The sequence below is a fragment of the Homo sapiens genome, chromosome 22, assembly GCF_000001405.40.
Source record: "Homo sapiens chromosome 22, GRCh38.p14 Primary Assembly".
In the NCBI taxonomy this organism is placed as follows: domain Eukaryota; kingdom Metazoa; phylum Chordata; class Mammalia; order Primates; family Hominidae; genus Homo; species Homo sapiens.
Genome location: NC_000022.11, coordinates 46,396,967 through 46,417,111, shown reverse-complemented (window position 1 = coordinate 46,417,111; position 20,145 = coordinate 46,396,967). Strand labels below are relative to the sequence as shown.

Here is a 20,145-nt window from a genome sequence, read left to right as displayed (position 1 = left end):
CGCTGCAGTTTGACTCTGTACAGACATTCCTGAGGTCCAGCCATCTGTGAATTCTTTGATATGAACGTTGGTTAATCATTTCTGACACAGAGCATGAATTCATTCATTTCCTAAGACGTGCCCCTCCCACCCCCCCACACCGCCTTCCCCTGCTACCTTCCCCAGCATTGAAACCGTACCCCCACCGGCCTCCCAATGCAGAATCGTCTGCAGCAGGTTAAAAGGCTGGAGAAATGTGAGCACTTCGTAAGGACCAAATGCTTTTGTGCGCACACAGAAACTCCCAGCACTGCGTAGAGCGGCTGAGTGGAAGCCAAGGAGGAGGGCCTGCACGCAGGGAAGAAAATACCTCGAAGGAAAATAAGAAGAGGCTGGACCCCGGGGATGACTCCTGGAGCAGGATTCCGGATCTGCACAGCTTAGCGCTTCTGGGCCACTCCTTGCAGTGCTCAGCGGCACTGTAGGTTTTTTCTCAGGTGGCTGCAGGAGTGAGCATGTGGCTTTTCCTTGCTGGCTCTGTTTCCGCCTGCCCCAGGGAGCCTGTGCTGGCCAGGGTTGCCCGCCGAGGGGTGTAGAGGTACCGTGGGCAGCCCCTGCTGTCTCCAGTCACTGTGTGCGCTGCCTGCCTTGCTCGGCCTGAGTGACCAGGTCCAGCTACTGAGCTTTATGTCCTGGAAGCGAGGCCTGGGAATTGCCTTTCCTGCAAGGGGTGTTGGTGCAGGGGTTGGGGGGGGTCCTCTGGGCCTGGCCGGCTGCTGCGCAGTACCCAGCTGAGCCCTGGAAGGGCAGGTGCCGGGGCGCTGGGGCCTCCACCGTGCTGGCCTTGGCCCATCCTGTGCCCGGCGCTTTCCAACACAAGAATTGAGAAAAAACTCAGACACAACCCTGTGGCCCCCTTCATTCCCACGCTGTCTTTTTCTTTTGTATAAATATGTGGCAAACTTTAAAAATTCCTCTTAGAAATGTGAGGAGGCGGTTCGTCTGTCTCATTCCTTATCCGCCCCCCTCTGCAACCTGTACCATTCATCGTCAGCTGTGACCCAGCCAAGCCACCAAGTGCTTTTCCTGGCTGGAAAACTCAGAGGCGGACACGCCACCCCACAGTCGGGAGCTGTTACCACCACGTAGTCTTTTCTCTGCCGCCGCCTCGTGCTCCACGCCGGCCTTTCAGCGGAGACGCACTTTGTCTTCCTTTGACAAAAATGGATGATCTGAGCCCAGATCACACACATCTGCTGCTGTTTTCACTTATCCCTATTCAAGCCGCCTGTGTAATTGTCCATGCGCCTCTCGACCCCTCCTGGAGAATGTTCACCTCTCTGACTGCGTTTTATCACTCATAGCCACCTGGCAGGAAGGCCAAATAATGCATTTTCTCTCCATGTCAGGGAAAAATTGGAAGGATCTTCCCGAAAGTTCTTCAGGTGGAGAGTGGCAGGGGGCTGGTGAGGGGGGATGCCCACCCAGGAATCTTTTTTTTTTTTTAATTTTTTCCTTATTGAGGTGAAGTTCACATAGCATAAAATTAAGCTTTAAAGGGGCTTCTAGTATATTCAGAGTATTGTACCACACCACTTCTATTGAGATCTAAAATGTTTTCATGCCATCAGTTAACCAATAGTAACTTTTTAAAAAATAATAAAATATTTTCATCACCCAGGCTGGATGGTACGGTGGCTCATGCCTGTAATCCCAGCACTTCGGGAGGCCGAGGCAGGTGGATCACTTGAGGTCAGGAGTTCGAGACCAGCCTGGCCATCATGGTGAAACCCCATCTCTACTAAAAATACAAAAATTAGCCAGGTGTGGTGATGGGCACCTGTAGTCCCAGCTACTTGGGAGGCTGAGGCAGGAGAATCGCTTGAACCTGGGAGGCGGAGGTTGCAGTGAGCCGAGATCATGCCACGGCACTCCAGCCTGGGTGACAGAGCGAGATTCCATCTCAAAAGAAGTATTTTCATCACCCCATACCATTAGCAGTCACCCCCCATCCTCCTCCCTGAGCTCCTGGCAACATCTGTCTGCTCTGTGTCTGTGGATGTGCCTGTCCTGGACATTGTGTAGGAATGGAGTCACGCGGTGCATGGCCTTTCGTGTCTGGCTGCTTTCACTGAGCGCGATGTGTTCCGGGACCCCCGCACCGTTGTGTGTCAGCGCTTCGTGCCTTTCGGTGGCTGCGATTCCGGTGCAGGGATGGGCCACAGTTTGCCCACTCATCTACTGATGGACATTTAGGTGGTTTCCACTTCTTGTGAGTTGTAAATAGCAACGCCGTCAACACTCATGAACTGGTTTTTGAGTTCCTGTTTTCAGTTCTTTTGGGTACACGCCTGGGGCTGGTGGTGCTGGGTCATGTAGTAGTTCTGCGTTTAATGCTTTGGGGACCCCCGTCTGTGCGTCTCAGGTCACCCACAGCACCGTGTCCATGCACTCCCTGCCTCCGTGACACTTGCTGGCCTCAACTGCAGAGTGGACGGTTAGCCTGCGCGTTAAACCCACACTCGCCGAGAGGCGGGAGAGTGGACGGTTAGCCTGCGTGTTTAACCCACACTCGCCGAGAGGCGGGAGAGTGGACGGTTAGCCTGCGCGTTAAACCCACACTCGCCGAGAGGCGGGCATTTTAAACCAGAGCCTCACTCAGCACCTATTCAGGGGTGACAGGAGAGGGATGGGCCATCGGGATGCTGTGATTTCTCCTCCGAGCAGCAGGGACCTCAGACCCCACAGATCCCCCCGCTCCTCTGTGCAGCCCTCCTGCTGGTTCTTCCAGCTCTCCACCTGAGAACATTCGGCTCTTTCGCCAAAAGTGCTGTTACTTTTGACCCAGTGGCCGCCGGTGGGTGTCTCTGGGAGTCAGAATCGAGCAGCACATCCTGGGCGCTGTCTATCAGAGACCGTTTCCTAAACGCCCTGTGCCTGCTGCTCTGATTCACGAAGGCCAGACTGAAGTCAGGTGTCCTAGCAGTGGGTGTCTCACATGAGTCAGTGCCACTCGAAAAACAAGCGTGGATTGCATTGGCTTTGTCTTTTGCCTCCAGCTTTCTTTATCCTGCTGTTTTTTGCTTGAATCCGTAGCTCTGAGCCATTGATTACCAGCAGCAGTTTACAGCAACTGCAGTTTTGTAAACAGTAGCTTAATGTCATGAAAGCCTTCCCAGTGTAAATGCTACTTACGCCCTTCCTCCAGTAGTCTCACGCCCAGCCCCAAAAATGTAAATTATAAGTTGTAAAGATAAGGTGGGGCTCACAAAGTGAGGGGAGGTTCTCCTTTCCCTGGGATCGCATCTCACATTTAAGCGTCCCATAATGGGCACTTCCACGCGTTTTCCAAAGTGGGCCGCGTTACACAGCGAGAAAACAGATGATTTTTAATGCACTCGCCTACCTGTTGCTTAACCAAAAGTGGAGTCTTTAAGGAGACAGCTTATCAGACCTTGTGATTTCATCAGCTGATGTAAAAGAAAAATGAAAAAGGTGATCCATGCATTCGAATACCAGGGGTCATGGTAGAAGCCTCCCTTGGATTTACAGACAAGGGCGTGTGGGAAACTCACGTATCTCTGTTGATATCATCCTCAATTCCCTGTAACACAGAGAGGACGTGTGTTCTAATAGTAAATCGTTATCTTGCACAAAAAGAAATTGAGGTACAGTCATGGGTCTCACTCACGTTAGATGATTGGATAAGAGGGAGGAGAAGCCTCAGCTGGGGTGGCCACATACAGTTGTGCAGGCTGCCCACTGCACAACTCCAGGCAGGGCGTGCTGCCTGGGTGTCCAGGGTCCCCAGAAGTCATGCAACTTGGCCATCTGGCTGAGCTCCTGTTTCCAGTTGTGTGTCCTGCTTTTCAGCCTCGTTTCCCTGATCAAAATAGATACTTTGTTCCTATTAAAAACTGAAGATTTATTTTTGAATGAACTATGTGGTTGTTATTTTCCTATTAAAAGGCACTGAGGATGATTTAATTAAATTCTACGTTTTTACAACGATCTATTTCCACGTTTTATAAAGAAGCATGAGATTGTATCATGCTATAAACTCAAACTGACCCCAGAACTATCAGGAGGAGGCATCGAACCCATCCTTTATAGGGGTGGTGGGAGGGACCCTGCTGGGACTGGAAGAAAAGGTTCTCTCTGGGGTGGAGGGGGAGGCTCTGCTGCGCATTGTGTGCCAATTGTGGGGCATGGTGGCACTTGCCTGGCGATCTCCTGGCTCATCGTCACGGCCACCTGTGGGATGTAGGTCTTGTTATCCAGGTTGTGCAGATGAAAGACATTCTGTTGCCTGTCCCGGTTGGAGCTGGCACCAACTGTGTTTCTGGAACTTTGAGACCCACATGCTTAAGTTCCGTGGCCAGCATGGATTGTGTAGGGCGGGTGCTGCTTTTCCTCCTGGAAGGGCGTCTGAGGCTGGCTGGGTGGATATGCTTCGTGTCCTGGGAGGGACTGACCAGGAGCTGAGACCTGCGAGGGCTGTCTGGGGAAAGTGGGCTCGTCCCCGGATGGCAAACCACAGTCTCTTGGAGAAGGGAAAGGTTTCACCCAAGGTCACTGATTCCAGAAGAACTCTTGTACCCAATCCTGGCCCAGAGAGGGAGTTCCACGCCTTAGAGGGGAGATGTGGGGCCGTCTGCAGGCCGGGCAGTGGCCTCCTGGTGTCTGTACTCCAGGAGCACGAACCTGGCCAGGTGCCGTGGTCAGGAGGACACCCCCAGAAGAGCAGAAGCGGGTGTTCACAGGAGGGGCCCCAGGACTTGGGTGTTGGCTGCAACTTCATTTCCTGGGGCCACCATCACAAAGTACCACGGACAGGGTGGCTCAAACAACAGACATGATTCTCTCTCAGTCTGGTGCCTAGAAGTCAAGGCGCGGGTAGGGCCGTGCCTCCTCCGAAGGCTGAAGGGGAGGACCCTTCCTGCCTTTTCCTAGCTGTCGGTGGCCCAGGTGGCCCTTGGCTTGTAAACAGCTGCTCCAGCAGCTGCCTCCGCGGTCACGCAGCTTCTCCCTGTGTGCCTTTGCATCTCAGCATCTGTCCTCTTAAGAGGACACCAGTCATCTTGGATCAGGGCCCGCCTACTCCAGGACGTCCGCATCTTAGCTAATTCCATCAGCACCAGCTCTTTGTCCAGACCAGGCCACGTTCTGAGATTCTGGGAAGCAGAACTTGAGGGGGCATTGAGCAGCCCAGCACAGCTAGTTTGGGGAACTAAAGGCCGGGGGCTCCTCATCCCTTGTCTACGTGCCGCCCACCCTGTGCCATGTCCTCCTCGCTCTATGAGTGACAGGTGCGCCTGCTGAGGGCACTGGTGGAGAAAACGCTGACACCTTCTGTGCTTTCTCTTCTTACAGCCCAATATTGGCCACCTGGGCCTGCCCCATGGGCCGTCCGGGGAAAAGATGGCCGTGGTGACAGTGGATGATTGTGACACAACCATGGCTGTGCGCTTTGGAAAGGACATCGGGAACTACAGCTGCGCTGCCCAGGGCACTCAGACCGGCTCCAAGAAGTGAGCATCCCAGGAGGGGAGGCCCTGGGGGTCCGTACCCCCAAACATGCTCACCCTGCGGCCTTCCCAGGGCAGGGCCCCACGTAGGCACTCTGGGTGCAGTGCCCTGGCGACCTCATTCCAGGCTAGAGTCAGACATCCTGTCCATGGTTGGGGCACCTTCCCTCTGACCTTCTAGAATAAGTCTCCCTAAGTATGTGTCAAGAGTGGCCAGGCCGACCCCAGGGTTGTGATGGCCAGCTTGCAGACCCCGAGACGGTCTCCAGCCCCATCTCCACGGATCACTGGCTTTGTCCCCGCAAATTCTGGTACCTGGGACTCCAGGACTCTGTTAAGTGAAGCACTGTGTCAGCCAGCTGGTCCCAGAGGCTTATGTTTTTTTGTTGTTGTTTTGTTTTTTTCTGAGATGGGGTCTCGCTCTGTTGCCCAGGCTGGAGTGCAGTGGCACGATTCTAGCTCACTGAAGCCTTGACCTCCTGGACTCAAGCCATCCTCCTGCCACAGCCTCCCGAGTAGCTGGGACTACAGGCATGCACCACCACGCCCAGCTAATTTTTGTATTTTTAGTAGACACCATCCTGTTGGCCAGGATGGTCTCGATCTCTTGACCTCGTGATCTGCCCGCCTCAGCCTCCCAAAGTGCTGGGTTCTCATTTTCTTCTGGCCTCCTTTCAAGGCCCTTCCTTTTCCTAGAAGGTCTCAGAGGCAAGGGTAAAGTATAGTCCCTGCTGGCCTTGACCTGTGCTCCCTGCGCTCACATCCTGTCTCGGTGTGGACCAGCCTGGGTGGGCGGGGCTTGGTGGTCACTGGTGAGCGTGAAACACCCAGATCGTCAGGACTGAACACAAGTGTGAGCAAACGGAGGCAGTGGCGGCACCAGACACAGGAGCCCCCTCTGACTTTGGCCTCTCCCCGCCTGTCTGCTTGGTTTCTGAAGTAGTTATGGTGGTAGAGGCTACACAGAGGCAACTGCGGAGCCCAGCCCGCCGTGGCCGCCTCTCCCCGCCCTGACGTCACAGAAGATGGCTTTACCTACCCAGGTCCCTGGATCTGACCGGCCCTCTACTCCTGGGGGGTGTCCCCAACCTGCCAGAAGACTTCCCAGTGCACAACCGGCAGTTCGTGGGCTGCATGCGGAACCTGTCAGTCGACGGCAAAAATGTGGACATGGCCGGATTCATCGCCAACAATGGCACCCGGGAAGGTACGGGTGGCCGTCAGGGCGTCGGAGCTGCCGCAGTGGCATCTGGCTGGACGTCGGCAGCCACACAGAGGTCACTGCTTGCAGATCCCTGGGGAGCCGTGTTTTTCTTAGAAATGTATGTGTCCAGCGGTGGGCAGCTCCTGGGATGGAACCCGGAGTCCAGGCTGGAGATGTGCATCTCCGCAGTTCCTGCATCTGCAGTTTGGGGTTGCCTTGGCACTGCTGGCCCAGCCAGCTAACCCGAGGCGCACATGATCCTAGGGTCTTGCATATGTGTCACCAGGTGACCGGGCCGGCTGCCGTGATGGCCTGGCGTCCCAGCGTCTCCAAATGTGGTCAGTGCGTTCAGCACCTTCTTAGTTCCCATGTTCCTGCCGTTGCCAGGGGCGTTCAGACCTGGTCTGACTTCTGTCCAGCCCCGGGTCCATTCCGTCCTGGTTTCCCACGCCACGTCTGGCGCCGGGGACCCCGGGCGGTTCCTCCGAGTCAGGCTCTGCCGCACGCTCTGTGTTGCCAGGCTGCGCTGCTCGGAGGAACTTCTGCGATGGGAGGCGGTGTCAGAATGGAGGCACCTGTGTCAACAGGTGGAATATGTATCTGTGTGAGTGTCCACTCCGATTCGGCGGGAAGAACTGTGAGCAAGGTGAGTGGCCGGCGTCGTCCATCCCCCCGGTCACGGCGGCCTGGGAGGCATTGCTCCTTGATGTGCCCGGGACCACCGTGAGGGGGCTTCACATCCAGGTCCGGCAGCCTCTGGTGGTATATGCTGCATTTACTGTGGACTCACACCGCCCTCTCCAAGAGACTGTCCTCCGCAGAGCCCCTGCTCCTGCTTCTGGGGTCCCCAGTCCCTCAGGTGTGGGGTGGGACAGGTAGGCTGGGCCGGCAGAGCCCAGCCCCAGCACCCCAGCCACGGAGCCCAGGGATCCTGAACCCGCCCCCGTCTGCCTCCTGTCAAGCCTGAGAGCCCCTTACCACGCCCATCTGTGGCTGGGAGCCTGCAGATCTTCATGCTTCCCAGCAAGGAGGCTCACGTCCCAGGGTGCGCTTCTCTGGAGCCCACGTGGCTGACTGTGAGGGCTGGATGCGTCACAGAGGGGAGGCTCAGACCCACCTTCGTGTTAAAGTGAAAAAGGCCCAGGCCTAGCCTGCAGGCCCATCCCCCGCCCCTGCAGCCAAGTCCGCGGCCGTGTGATTTCGGGAGACACCTGAGGTCCCTGGGCCTGTGTCCGCAGCCATGCCTCACCCCCAGCTCTTCAGCGGTGAGAGCGTCGTGTCCTGGAGTGACCTGAACATCATCATCTCTGTGCCCTGGTACCTGGGGCTCATGTTCCGGACCCGGAAGGAGGACAGCGTTCTGATGGAGGCCACCAGTGGTGGGCCCACCAGCTTTCGCCTCCAGGTGACTGGGGCCCCGTGCCACCAAGGCACCTGCTAGGTGGGTGCCCGAGGGAGGGACCCAGGCGCTGGGCTTCCTGGTGCACACTCGGGCACCTGCTACTCGCCCTTCCTCCGGCGCCCGCCCCTGGGGTTCTCCGAAGAGGGGGAAGGGGAATATCAGCCCTTTCTTTCCTCTGGGAGGCGGAGACAGCGAGGGAGCATGGGGCTGGGCCAACCCTGGGGCCCAGCAGAGCTCAGCGGCAGTTCTGGTCTCCCTCTAGCCTGAGGGTTTGGCTGGAGCGTGGGCATTGCAGAACTGAGGGAGGTGCCGAGCCTTCAGGCGGAAACAGTGAGCCTCACCAGTTAAAGCTGCAGCCAGGTGCAGGCCGGGGTGGTGGCTCATGCCTGTAATCCCAACACTTTGGGTGGCGGAGGCCGGCGGATCACCTGAGGTCAGAAGTTCGAGACCAGCCTGGCCAACATGGTGAAACCCCATCTCTACTAAAAATACAAAAAAAATTAGCCAGGCTTGGTAGTGGGGGCCTGTAACCCCAGCTACCTGGGAGGCTGAGGCAGGGGAATCACTTGAATCTGGAAGGCGGAGGTTGCAGTGACCCGAGAACGTGTCACCACACTCCAGTCTGGACGACAAGACAGAGACTCCATCTCAAAAAGCCACAGCCAGGTGGTGGTTGGCACCAATGCACGTCCACTTTCTCTGGGAGCTTGAGATGCCTCAGCCCAGAAATGCCTAAAGCCCCGCTCTGTCGCTGTCTGCCTGTTTTCTCTGTCTTATTGATCTTTACTGTTTCGTTTATTTGAAACAAAAGTTTATTTGTTGGATAAAAATTCCGAACAGCTTTTAGAAGGTGATTCGAATGCACTCTTTCCTCCGGTTTTCTGCGCCACACGGTTTCTGCTCGCATCTTCCATGCTCCGTAGACACTTTGTTTGAGAAACAGTTATGAGCCCTGTCTTCTGTCATCGGGCTGCCCTTCTGCCACAACCTCCGCCGCATGAGGCAGCCATGGGGACCCTCCCCAGGAGGGTGCCCGGCCCTCGGCTTGCCCTCTTGCCCCTCTGCCTGTGCATCTGAAGGTCATTCTCGTCTGTAGTGATGGCGGGGCACGGGCGCTCTCCTGTAAACCCAGCTGCTGTGACCCTTTCTGATCAGGGTCTAGCTCTGAAAACTCACTGGGCAATTCTCCCTCCTAAAAAGCTCCCTTTATGTCTCTCCTTAGGCCTAATTCTCATCCCCTGGCACGGGAGTGGCCTGTGGGAGCCGTGCCTGAGCAGGGCGCTCTGTCTTGATTTGACAGATTCATAACTGAGTTATTCCTTCCTTCATCCTAGGTTTTTTTTGTTTTGTTTTGTTTTGTTTTTTTGAGATAAAGTTTTGCTCTTGTTGCCCAGGCTGGAGTGCGACGGCGTAACCTCAGCTCACTGCAACTTCTGCCCCCCAGGTTCAAGCGATTCTCCTGCCTCAGCCTCCATTGTAGTTGGGATTACAGGAGCTCACCACCACACCTGGCTAAATTTGCTGTATTTTTAGTAGAGACAGGGTTTTGCTATGTTGACCAGGCTGGTCTCGAACTCCTGACCTCAGGTGATCCACTCGCCTCCGCCTCCCAAAGTGCTGGGATTACAGATGTGACTCTTATGCTTTTCTCCAAGTTTGTGTGTGTGTGTGCGCATATCTCCGTGCAAGTGTGTGTGCATGTCAGTCTGTGTATGTGCATCTCTCCATGCGTGCACATTTGTGCATGTCTGTGTGCATGTGGCTGTATATGTATGTGTGTGCACCCATGTGATGAGACCTGGGTGCACATGGTCTCAGAGCAGCACTGACTTCCTTCTGGTTGTTCATTATCTCCAACCAGAGTGAGCCTGGGGCTCCCTCCTGACCTCCCTTCAGCGCACAGAGATGCTGCCCTTAGGTTAGCCTCCTCTCCTGCCTTGGGGTCGGCCACACGGGAACACTCACCCTGTTCTCCCAGGATGACCCCCCCTCCCCGCTCCTGCGGTCAGGAAGTCCCTCCCAAAGCGGCGTCTGGGCTGCGTGTCCTCCGCCATCAGCTGTGTGCCGTGGCGGAGCCATGCCTTATTGCCTTTGCTCCGTTGGGCTCTGGGCTTCTTTTGCTGCCGAGTGTGTCCTGGACACCATCCCGCATCAGGGGAAGCTGGGCTAAGGTCAGATGGTGAGAGGTGAGATGGATTTTACGGAGTGCCTGCTCCAAGCTCTCGTTCCACACACGGGAAACTGAGGCGTAGAGGCTCTTCACTAGGGACCCTATGGTTCTTTTCCTGCCCAGGTTCCTGGGACAGCCACAGGCCCTTCTCTGTCACTCCTAAGGACAGCCCATCTAGAAACAGTTCTGTATAGCCAAGATTGGCATGAGGGTTGGCGGGTGGACAGAGGGACTGCCCAGCACATGCCCTCCCCATCATGAGTGCCTGGTTGGAGTGTGGCGGGGGCAGGACCGAGAGTGCTCCCAGCAGGCTGGTGGAGGTCAGTCCCTCAGCAGATCAGCGAGGGCTCAGGAGATGGGTCGGGGCTGTGGGGCAGGGGCTCAGGCCTGGACAGGGAGCCTCCTGTTCCTCCCCATCACAGCTCGGGAGCATTTTCCAGCACAGACCTCTCGGATTGCCTGGAAGGTGTGGTGTGCGCCAGGGATGATTACAGCTGGCCTGTGGGCCCTTGTTAACCTGTAATTTCATGAGTCTCCCAGGCAGCCCCAGAAGCTTGCTCCAGGCCAAAACTTGGCAAGTGCGGTGCTGCCTGGGGATGGTATTTTCTGTGTGGTGGTTTCACTGTCAGAACAAATTAAATTGGCTGTTGGATGCAGGTGATGAACTGGAGCTTGCAAGTTGTCATTTGGCAGTGGGGTCTCTGTAGGAAAAAAGTGCGCTTTCAGTAGGAATGGTGCTGGAAGCCACAGACTCCGGTGCTGTTTGTGTAATTACATCATGGAGGGCTCATCCCCAGATTAGGAATTTTGCCAGGGACTACAGCCAGCCCTCCCTGTGGAAGTCTGGGTGGCTGGAGGGGTGGCCTTGAGGGGATGCTGCAGACCCCACTGGGCACCCAGAAGGCCCCCAGGGCAGCTCGCAGAGGCCGGTCAACCACACGTTACCGAAGGTTCTGGGGGATTTCTCCTTGCCATTATCAGCTTGCAGGCCTCCCGTGGGCCTGTGAGCTCCGTAAAGCAGCAGTTTGGCTGTCCCTCAAAGGATGTCTCCTGTGCCCCTGCCACTGTGGTGGGACAAAGAAGACTCCATTGTAATCCCACAGCCCAAGCAATTTGGATAATTGCTCTCGGGCACCCAAAATCCACCCACCTTGTCAGGTGGGATAACCTTGAGATTGCTGAATGCCTCTCTGACTGAGAGCTGGGGACACACTCTCAGTTACCTCCCATAAAACAGGTTCATCCTGTGGATATCACTTTTGTTTGTAGATATAACATCACTTTTATCACTGATCTGCTCACTTTGGAGTTCTTTAAGCAAGAACAATGCAAGAGATGGCAAAGGAATTTTTTTTTTTTTTTTTTTTTTGAGACGGAGTCTCGCTCTGTCACCCAGGCTGGAGTGCAGTGGCATGATCTCAGCCCATTGCAAGCTCTGTCTCCCAGGTTCACGCCATTCTCCTGCCTCAGCCTCCCGAGTAGTTGGGGCTACAGGCCCCTGCCACGACGCCTGGCTAATTTTTTGTATTTTTAGTAGAGACAGGGTTTCACCGGGTTAGCCAGGATGGTCTCGGTCTCCTGACCTCGTGATCCACCCGCCTCAGCCTCCCAAAGTGCTGGGATTACAGGCACGAGCCACTGTGCACGGCCAAGCAAAGGAAATTAATAAGCTGACTTCTATAGAACAAAAGAAAACAAAATGGAGGCTGGGTGCAGTGGCTCACGCCTGTAATCCCAGCACTTTGGGAGACTGAGGCGGGTGGATCACCTGAGGTCAGGAGTTTGAGACCAGCATGGCCAACATGGGGAAACCCCATCTCTGCTAAAAATACAAAAATTAGCTGGGTGTGGTGGTGCATACCTGTAATCCCAGCTACTCCGGAGGCTAAGGCAGGAGAATCACTCGAACTCAGGAGGCAGAGGTTGCAGTGAGCCAAGGTTATACCACTGTACTCCAGCCTGGGTAACAAGAGCGAAACTGTCTCAAAAAAAAGACAAAATAGAAAAAGGTGAAAAGTTATCTTCTTAAAATAACTATCAGGCCAGGTACAGTGGCTCATGGATGTAATCCTACCACTTTGGAAGGCCAAGGCAGGTGGATCACCTGAGGTCAGGAGTTCAAGACCAGCCTGGCCATCATGGAGAAACCTTGTTTCTACTAAAAATACAAAAATTAGCCAGGTGTGCATCTGTTTTTTTGTGTGTGTGTGCCCCCCTCCCCCACCAAAAACCCAAACTATCAATAGAGACCAAAAAGCAAAATACAGTTTTAGTTACATAATCTTTACAGCCAGTTAAAACCTGTATCCTGTTTTCTCTCATGAATTTATCTTAGACTGATGTGATATTTAGAAGTAGATTTCTAGGTTAGCAAGCATGTAGCGTTTTCTTTTCTTTTTTCTTTTTCTTTTTTTTTTGAAATGGAGTCTCACTCTGTCTCCCAGGTTGGAGTGCAGTGGCGTGAACTCTGCTCACTGCAACCTCTGCCTCCCAGGTTCAAGGGATTCTCCTACCTCAGCCTCCCGAGTAGCTGAGATTACAGGTGTGTGCCACCACGCCCAGCTAATTTTTGTATTTTTAGTAGAGACAGGTTTTCACCATGTTGGCCAGGCTGGTCTCCAACTCCTGACCTCAGGTGACCCACCCGCCTCGATCTCCCAAAGTGCTGGTATTTCAGGTGTGAGCCACCGCGCCCAGCCTCATGTAGCATTTTCTAGTAAATCATTTTGGTATTGTTTTTAGCATAATTGCAGGTCAAAGAATGTATACCATGTGGTTTCAGAGCTTTGAAATGTGGTTTACAGCCCAGATCTAGTCAGTTTTTTTTTTCTTTTTTTCTTTTTTTTTTTTTTTTTTTGAGACGGAGTTTCACTCTGTCACCAGGCTGGAGTGCAGTGGTGCAATCTCAGCTCACTGCAGCCTCCACCTCCCGGGTTCAAGGGATTCCCTTGCCTCAGCCTCCTTAGTAGCTGGAATTATAGGTGCCTGCCACCACATCCAGATAATGTTTGTATTTTTAGTAGAGACGGGGTTTCACCATGTAGGCCATGCTGGTCTCGATCCCCTGACCTCAGGTGATCTGTCTGCCTCCACCTCCCAAAGTATTGGGATTAGAGTTGTGAGCCACCGTGCCTGGCCTCTAGCCAGTTTTGTACACATGCCCCTGTGTGCTCTGCAGTTGTTATCTGTACTGTTCTATATACATCAAGTAGGTTAAATTTGTTAATCGTGGTATTCAAATATTCTATATCGTTATTGTTTTTTTTGTGTGTGTGACAGAGTCTTGCTCTGTCGCCCAGGCTGGAGTGCAGTGGCTTGATCTCGTCTCACTGCAAGCTCCACCTCCTGGGTTCATGCCATTCTCCTGCCTCAGCCTCCCAAATAGCTGGGACTACAGGCGCCCACTACCACGCCTGGCTATTTTTTTTTTTTTTTTGTATTTTTAGTAGACACGGGGTTTCACCGTGTTAGCCAGGATGGCCTCGATCTCCTGACCTTGTGATCCACCCGCCTCAGCCTCCCAAAGTGCTGGGATTACAGGTGTAAGCCACCGCGCCAGCCTATTGGTTTTAATTATTGTTTTTTTGTCTTTGTCTCCTCACTTACTGAGAGAAGTTAGTTACAAATCTACCTTGACTGTAGATTTATCTATTACTTCTCTTAGTAATCTTGATTTTTGCTATATAGATTTTGAGGCCAGGTTATTAGGTGCATACAAATTTAGAGCTGATTTATCTTCCCAGCAAATTGACTTGGTTATCATTATGAAATTCCTCTTTTTCTGTAGTGAGGACTTTTGCCTTAAGTCTACTTTGTCTCATATTAACATAGCTATACCATTTGTCTTTTGGTTGGTATTTATATGATGTATTTTTTTCTATCCTTTTACTTTCAACATTTTCTGTATCCTTATATTTCAGGTATAATATAAGCAGTGTGCTAATAGTTGTTTTTCTAAAATCTAGGCTATTTTTTGAAGTTATCTTTAAATATGAGCATCTTAGGTTAGTTACAACCTTGTTTTCTGATTCTTCTTACATGTACTTAAACATGGCCGTTTGACCCTTATCTCTGTAACACCTACACCCAGAAGTAAGTCTAATTGTCTCACTGAGTCTGTTTCCTTGAAAGTTTTGTGGTTCCCAGTGTTATTTTTGAGTCTGTGTCTGATGAATCTGTGGTCTGTTGCCACTCTTCCTTGCTTCTCTTGGTTTTCAAGCATATTACCTTATATCCTCGTATACTTGGCTATTTTTTATTGAGTGCTAGACATTTTATTGAAAAACTAGAGAGCATTTGAAACTAGAATGGGGGCCAGGTGCAGTGGCTCATGCCTGTAATCCCAGCACTTTGGGAGGCCAAGACAGGCAGATCACCTGAGGTCAGGAGTTCGAGACCAGCCTGACCAACATGGAGAAGCCCCGTCTCTACTAAAAATACAGAAAATTAGCTGGGTGTGGTGGTGGGTACCTGTATCTCAGCTACTCGGGAGGCTGAGGCAGGAGAATCACTTGAACCTGGGAGGTGGAGTTTACAGTGAGCTGAGATTGTGCCATTGCACTCCAGCCTGGGCAACAAGAGTGAAACTCTGTCTCAAAAAAAAAAAAAAGAAAAAGAGAAACTAGAATGGGGATGATGGGGATGTCATTATCTTCCATGTTTGCTTCTGGCAACCACTAGGAGCACTTTCCCTCCCAGAGCACTTGAATGCAGTCACAGACTTTTTTGTTTGTGTGTTTTTGAGATGGAGTCTCGCTCCATCGCCCAGGCTGGAGTGCGGTGGCGTGATCTCGGTTCACTGCTACCTCCGCCTCCCGAGTTCAAGCAATTCTCCTGTCTCAGCCTCCCAAGCAGCTGGAACTACAGGCACCTGCCACCACGCCCAGCTAATTTTTTGTATTTTTAGTAGAGATGGGGTTTCACCTTGTTGGTCAGGCTGGTCTCAAACTCCTGACCTCAGGTGATCCACCCGCCTTGGTCTCCCAAAGTCACAGAGTTTAATGCAGTCACAGACTGAGGTGGTTCAAAGCTGGGCTTCCAGTCCTGCAAAGGTGGCTCTTTTTCGTTTTTATCGTTAGTGTAAACCCCTCAGGGTTCCAACCAGAAGCCAAGGAACAACCCTTGGCAGTCCATGAACCCCAGTTTTTAATCCTCCAGCCCCATGAACCTAGAAAGCTTTTAGGCATCTTGAGACTCTAGGTCACAGGCGACTGATGGAGCGTCGTACCACCTGCTGATAGGGCTGAAGAGTGCCAAGGAGGGCAGGGGTTTCAGGTACCTGGCAGCCGTGACCTGACTGCACGCTCAGCCTCCACTGTGTCTTCCAGAACCAGCTGACGGCCTTGCAGGGAAGCACACGCCACGCTGTTTTGCAGATTCTGTCTTTTCCTTGGTTGTGAGCCTGAAACTCTGTTTTGCCTGGAGCCACTTCAGTGTCTTCAAACAGACATTCTTTAATATTTTGTCTCATGTTCGTAGGTGATTTCAAGAGGAGAGGTGGTCCAAATTGCCAAGTCCTTTCTTAGGAGATCTAAGATTTTCACGCTGCCCTTGGCCTACCTTATTTTAAAATATGAGTGTTTTAGGCCAGTTGCAATGCTGATTTTTGTTTTTTTCATACATGTAATTAAACACAGAGGATTAAATCTTGTCTTATAAAGTATAATGTTTACATCCAAAAATAGGAGCCCAGTAGTTACCTGAATCGAGCTGGGTCCCAGTACTTAAAAGCCTAATGGGGCTTGTTCTTGGCGCTTCCCTTACTTGACCTCCATGAAGCGATTGATCCTTTTTCCCGTAGAATAAGACAAGCAATTCTGATCAGTGTTAAAGGCAACAGCAACAAAGAACAACTTTGCCTATACTTTTTTTTTTTTTGAGACAGGTTCTCACTCTGTCACCCAAGTCGAAGTACAGTAGTGCTACCTAGGCTCACTGCAACCTCTGCCTCCTGGGCTTGAGTGATCCTTCCACCTCAGCCTCCCAAGTAGCTGGGATTACAGGAGCACACCACCATGCCCAGCTAATTTTTGTATTTTTAGTAGACACGAGGTTTTGCCATGTTTGCCAGGCTGGCCTTGACCTCCTGGCCTCAAGCAATCCACCCGCCTTGGCTTCCCAAAGTGCTGAAATTACAGGTGTGAGCCACCACGCCCAGCCAACTTTGTCTAATGATGATTATTATTTTGAGACAGAGTCTCGCTCTTGTCTCCCAGGCTGGAGTGCAGTGGCGCGATCTCGGCTCACTGCAACCTCTAGTAGACTCCCAGGTTCAAGCGATTCTGCTGCCTTAGCCTGCGGAGTAGCCGGGCTTACAGGTGCCTGCCACCATGCCTGGCTAATTTCAGTATTTTTAGTAGAGGCAGGTTTCACCATGTTGGCCAGGCTGGTCTTGAACTCGTGACCTCAGGTGATCCGCCTGCTGTGGCCTCCCAACGTGCTGGGATTAAAGGCCTGAGCCACTGCTCCCAGCCAACTTTGCCTAACTTTTTTTTTTTCTCGAGACCAAGTCTCGCTCTGTCACCCAGGGTGGAGTGCAATGCTGCGATCTCAGCTCACTGCAACCTCCACCTCCCAGGTTCAAGCAGTTCTCCTGCCCCAGCCTCTGAGTAGCCAGGATTACAGGCACCTACCACCACACCTAGCTAATTTTTGTATTTTTAGTAAAGATGGGGTTTCACCATGTTGGCCAGGCTGGTCACGAACTTTTGACTTCAGGTGATCCACCCACCTCAGCCTCCCAAAATGCTGAGATTACAGGCCTGAGCCACCGCACCTGGCCAACTTTGCCTAATTTTTAAGCCTATCTTGTATCTGGTGCCACATAATCAGTCTCCTTTCACAGCTTCCTTGTTTAAGTGACTGCAAAATGTTTTCTCTTTCATTGTCATTGTACCAATCAGTCGGTGTGGCTCTCCCTGCTCCAGATCCTGAACAACTACCTCCAGTTTGAGGTGTCCCACGGCCCCTCCGATGTGGAGTCCGTGATGCTGTCCGGGTTGCGGGTGACCGACGGGGAGTGGCACCACCTGCTGATCGAGCTGAAGAATGTTAAGGAGGACAGTGAGATGAAGCACCTGGTCACCATGACCTTGGACTATGGGATGGACCAGGTGAGCTGGCACCTGCACCTCCTCTGGGGATAGACCCTTCCTCCGGCCCAGGGAAAAACAGAATGACCCCTTGACGTGCCAGGACCCACCAGAGACCTTGTGGATTTGGGGAGGCACTTTCTGGGTCCCCGCAGGTGGGCTTCTGTTCTGCCCTGTACTGAGGTCACTGGCATCTTCCTCACCTCCTTCATCCGGATGCCCCGCCCCCGGCAGTCAGCAGCTGACTTCCTCCAGCTGCATTTCTCATCATGATGCTGTTGGTGCCTTCAGCAGTGGTTTCTTTTAGCAAAGCCATCTTGAGCAACACCTGCAGGCTCAGCACCATGTCTTTAGGGTACTGAAGTAGCAATGCTGGGGCCCGTGCCCTCAGAGCATGGATGGGGAGCAAAACTGGGAGAGCAGTGAGACCCAGGTCCTGGACAGGCCTGTGAGACACCAGGGAGCCACACATGTCCCAGGCAGGCAGGTGGTGGTATCCCAGACAATGTTCGGAACACTTAACCAAACTAGGTTTCCACAGTTTGCAGGCAGGTAACCCAAGATGTTGTCTGTGAAATGCCCACACACTTAAGGGGCGACCTGGGATCTCCAAGAGCTCTTGGAGCCAAGGCTCATCTTACAACACAGACCTGGGAGTAAATAGGTGTGTTCCAGGCACCTGCCTTTCTGGGACTGGATCTCAGCCGAGACCCTCTTGGGTTCCCACAGTGTTAATGAGTGAGCGGATTTCCGTTCACTGCAGTCTTCCTGACTCGCCAAGCTCTCTGTCACAGCGTGGCTGGTTTAGTGTTGTGCCCTTGACGGAGGCGGGACAGTTGCCCACGTTGACCCCACTGGCCGCCTCAGCTAGGCTGGGGCATGGACACCCATCCTCTGGCCTGGTCCCCTCGCCCTGGTCATCACAGCCAGCCTCGCTGTCCAGCTGGGCCCAGCTCTCTCTTTGGAGGCCCAGATGTCCTCAGGCTCTGCGGAGTTTGTTGAAGTGACTGTTTAGACTTCCAGTGTATCCTTCCCATCTGAGAGACGTTTCTAGGATGGTGGATGCAGCCCCCAGATCCCCGGCCCCTCTCTCCGCACAGAACAAGGCAGATATCGGGGGCATGCTTCCCGGGCTGACGGTAAGGAGCGTGGTGGTCGGAGGCGCCTCTGAAGACAAGGTCTCCGTGCGCCGTGGATTCCGAGGCTGCATGCAGGTGCGTGGGGGTTGTGGGGGGCGGGGGGAGGCCTGCCCCTCACAGGCAGCTCCGAGGCTGGCAGCACCATAGGTGGTTCCGTTGGTCAACCTGTTAGCTTTCAACGAGTGAAGAATTTGTCTGACAGGCATCCCCACTTTAACAGCTCCTGTTTCCTCTTCAGACCCATTCTCCCCTGCGGTTCCCCTTGGCATCCGGGCCGTCCCTGGCCCCCACAGCTCCCCACCGCCATGCCAGCCACCTGCCCCTCTGCCTTTGTGAAGTGTCCTGAATCGAGCCCCTTGCCGCCACCCCCACCCAGTCCAACCACAGACGTCACCCAAGTGGGCCCCGTGCCTGTCCCCTGGAGCCAGGGGTTCCAGCTACGGCCGAGGGAGCTGCTCTGAGTCGTTCAGCTCTCAGCCCCCTCGGCAGGGACATCCACTCCTCACGCCCCCACCGCGCACCCCAGGAGCTCAGGCTGGCGTGCCCTCTGAGCTCCTCACCCAGCCCTCCACTGCACTCCGGCCAGCAGGCCGTGGGGCAAGAGGAACAACCCTGCCCGCCCCAGCTCTGTAGATAAATGAGGCATCACAGATGAATGCCTCGCAAGGGACCAGAGAGGTCTCAGGGTTCCCTTAACCCCTACATACCTTTCCGGGCTCCTGTAGCCCCAGTGCCGTTTACTTAATGCAGGGAGTGAGGATGGGGGGGACGCCCACCAACGTCGCCACCCTGAACATGAACAACGCACTCAAGGTCAGGGTGAAGGACGGCTGTGATGTGGACGACCCCTGTACCTCGAGCCCCTGTCCCCCCAATAGCCGCTGCCACGACGCCTGGGAGGACTACAGCTGCGTCTGTGACAAAGGTGGGACCGCCCTCCCGGGGCCCTTCAGTGACAGGGAGGTCTCTTATGGCTGAAACACAGGAGGGGGGCTCAGTTTAGACATTAGCGTCCCCAGCCAACTCCCTGTGGTTCCGTGGAGCCCTGAGCTTTATTTTATAACAAGCGGGCCCCTCCTAGAGAGAGACTCTGAGCCTCTTCCTTACTCAAGGCACAGAGTGCCCCAGGCGCTCTCCTCAGCACATGGGGTGATCAGCAAAGAAACAGTGAAAAGTAAGGCCGGGTGCAGTGGCTCATACCTGTAATCCCAGCACTTTGGGAGGCCGAGGTGGGTGGATCACTTGAAGCCAGGAGTTCAAGACCAGCCAGGCAACATGGTGAAACCCCATCTCTACGAAAAAAAAAAAAAAAAAAAAAAAAGCAAAAATTAGCCAGGCATGGTGGCACGCATCTGTAGTCCTAGCTACGTGGGAGGCTGAGGTGGGAGGATCACTTGAGCTTCTTAGGCAAAGGTTCCAGTGAGCTGAGATCATGCCACTGCACCTCAGCCTGGGCAACAGAGCAAGACTCTTCTCAATAAATAAATAAATAAAAGAATTAGTGAAAAGTGCATATTAAGAAAATCCTCCATTCAGGGTGGCCTCAGAGTTTTGAGGTGCTTAAGTCATCTTCTGCTGGTGGCCATTCCCCATGTGTCCTGGGGCAGCCTGGGCCCCGTGTTCCAAGGCTCT

General features: G+C 53.4%; 1 protein-coding gene across 6 annotated transcripts in view, besides 1 other annotated feature; it reads left to right on the top strand.

Annotated features, from left to right (window-relative positions):
- The window catches only part of CELSR1 (cadherin EGF LAG seven-pass G-type receptor 1), a 176,447-nt gene that overhangs the window by 120,509 nt on the left and 35,793 nt on the right, over positions 1 to 20,145 (top strand). For all 6 annotated transcript variants that reach the window (NM_014246.4, NM_001378328.1, XM_047441624.1 and 3 more), the window contains exons 6-12: positions 5,353 to 5,510; positions 6,551 to 6,714; positions 7,232 to 7,357; positions 7,950 to 8,116; positions 17,210 to 17,395; positions 18,475 to 18,588; positions 19,264 to 19,438. In NM_014246.4, coding sequence (NP_055061.1) covers positions 5,353 to 5,510; positions 6,551 to 6,714; positions 7,232 to 7,357; positions 7,950 to 8,116; positions 17,210 to 17,395; positions 18,475 to 18,588; positions 19,264 to 19,438 — 1,090 coding nt within the window. The remainder of the gene's footprint in view (positions 1 to 5,352; positions 5,511 to 6,550; positions 6,715 to 7,231; positions 7,358 to 7,949; positions 8,117 to 17,209; positions 17,396 to 18,474; positions 18,589 to 19,263; positions 19,439 to 20,145) is intronic.
- Positions 6,745 to 7,246: an enhancer, noted in NCBI's record as "H3K4me1 hESC enhancer chr22:46805763-46806264 (GRCh37/hg19 assembly coordinates)". NCBI's record gives its function as "activates a minimal SCP1, AML or CMV promoter by ChIP-STARR-seq in naive H9 embryonic stem cells {active_cell/tissue: H9 hESC(naive)}" and the evidence as "EXISTENCE:reporter gene assay evidence [ECO:0000049][PMID:30033119]".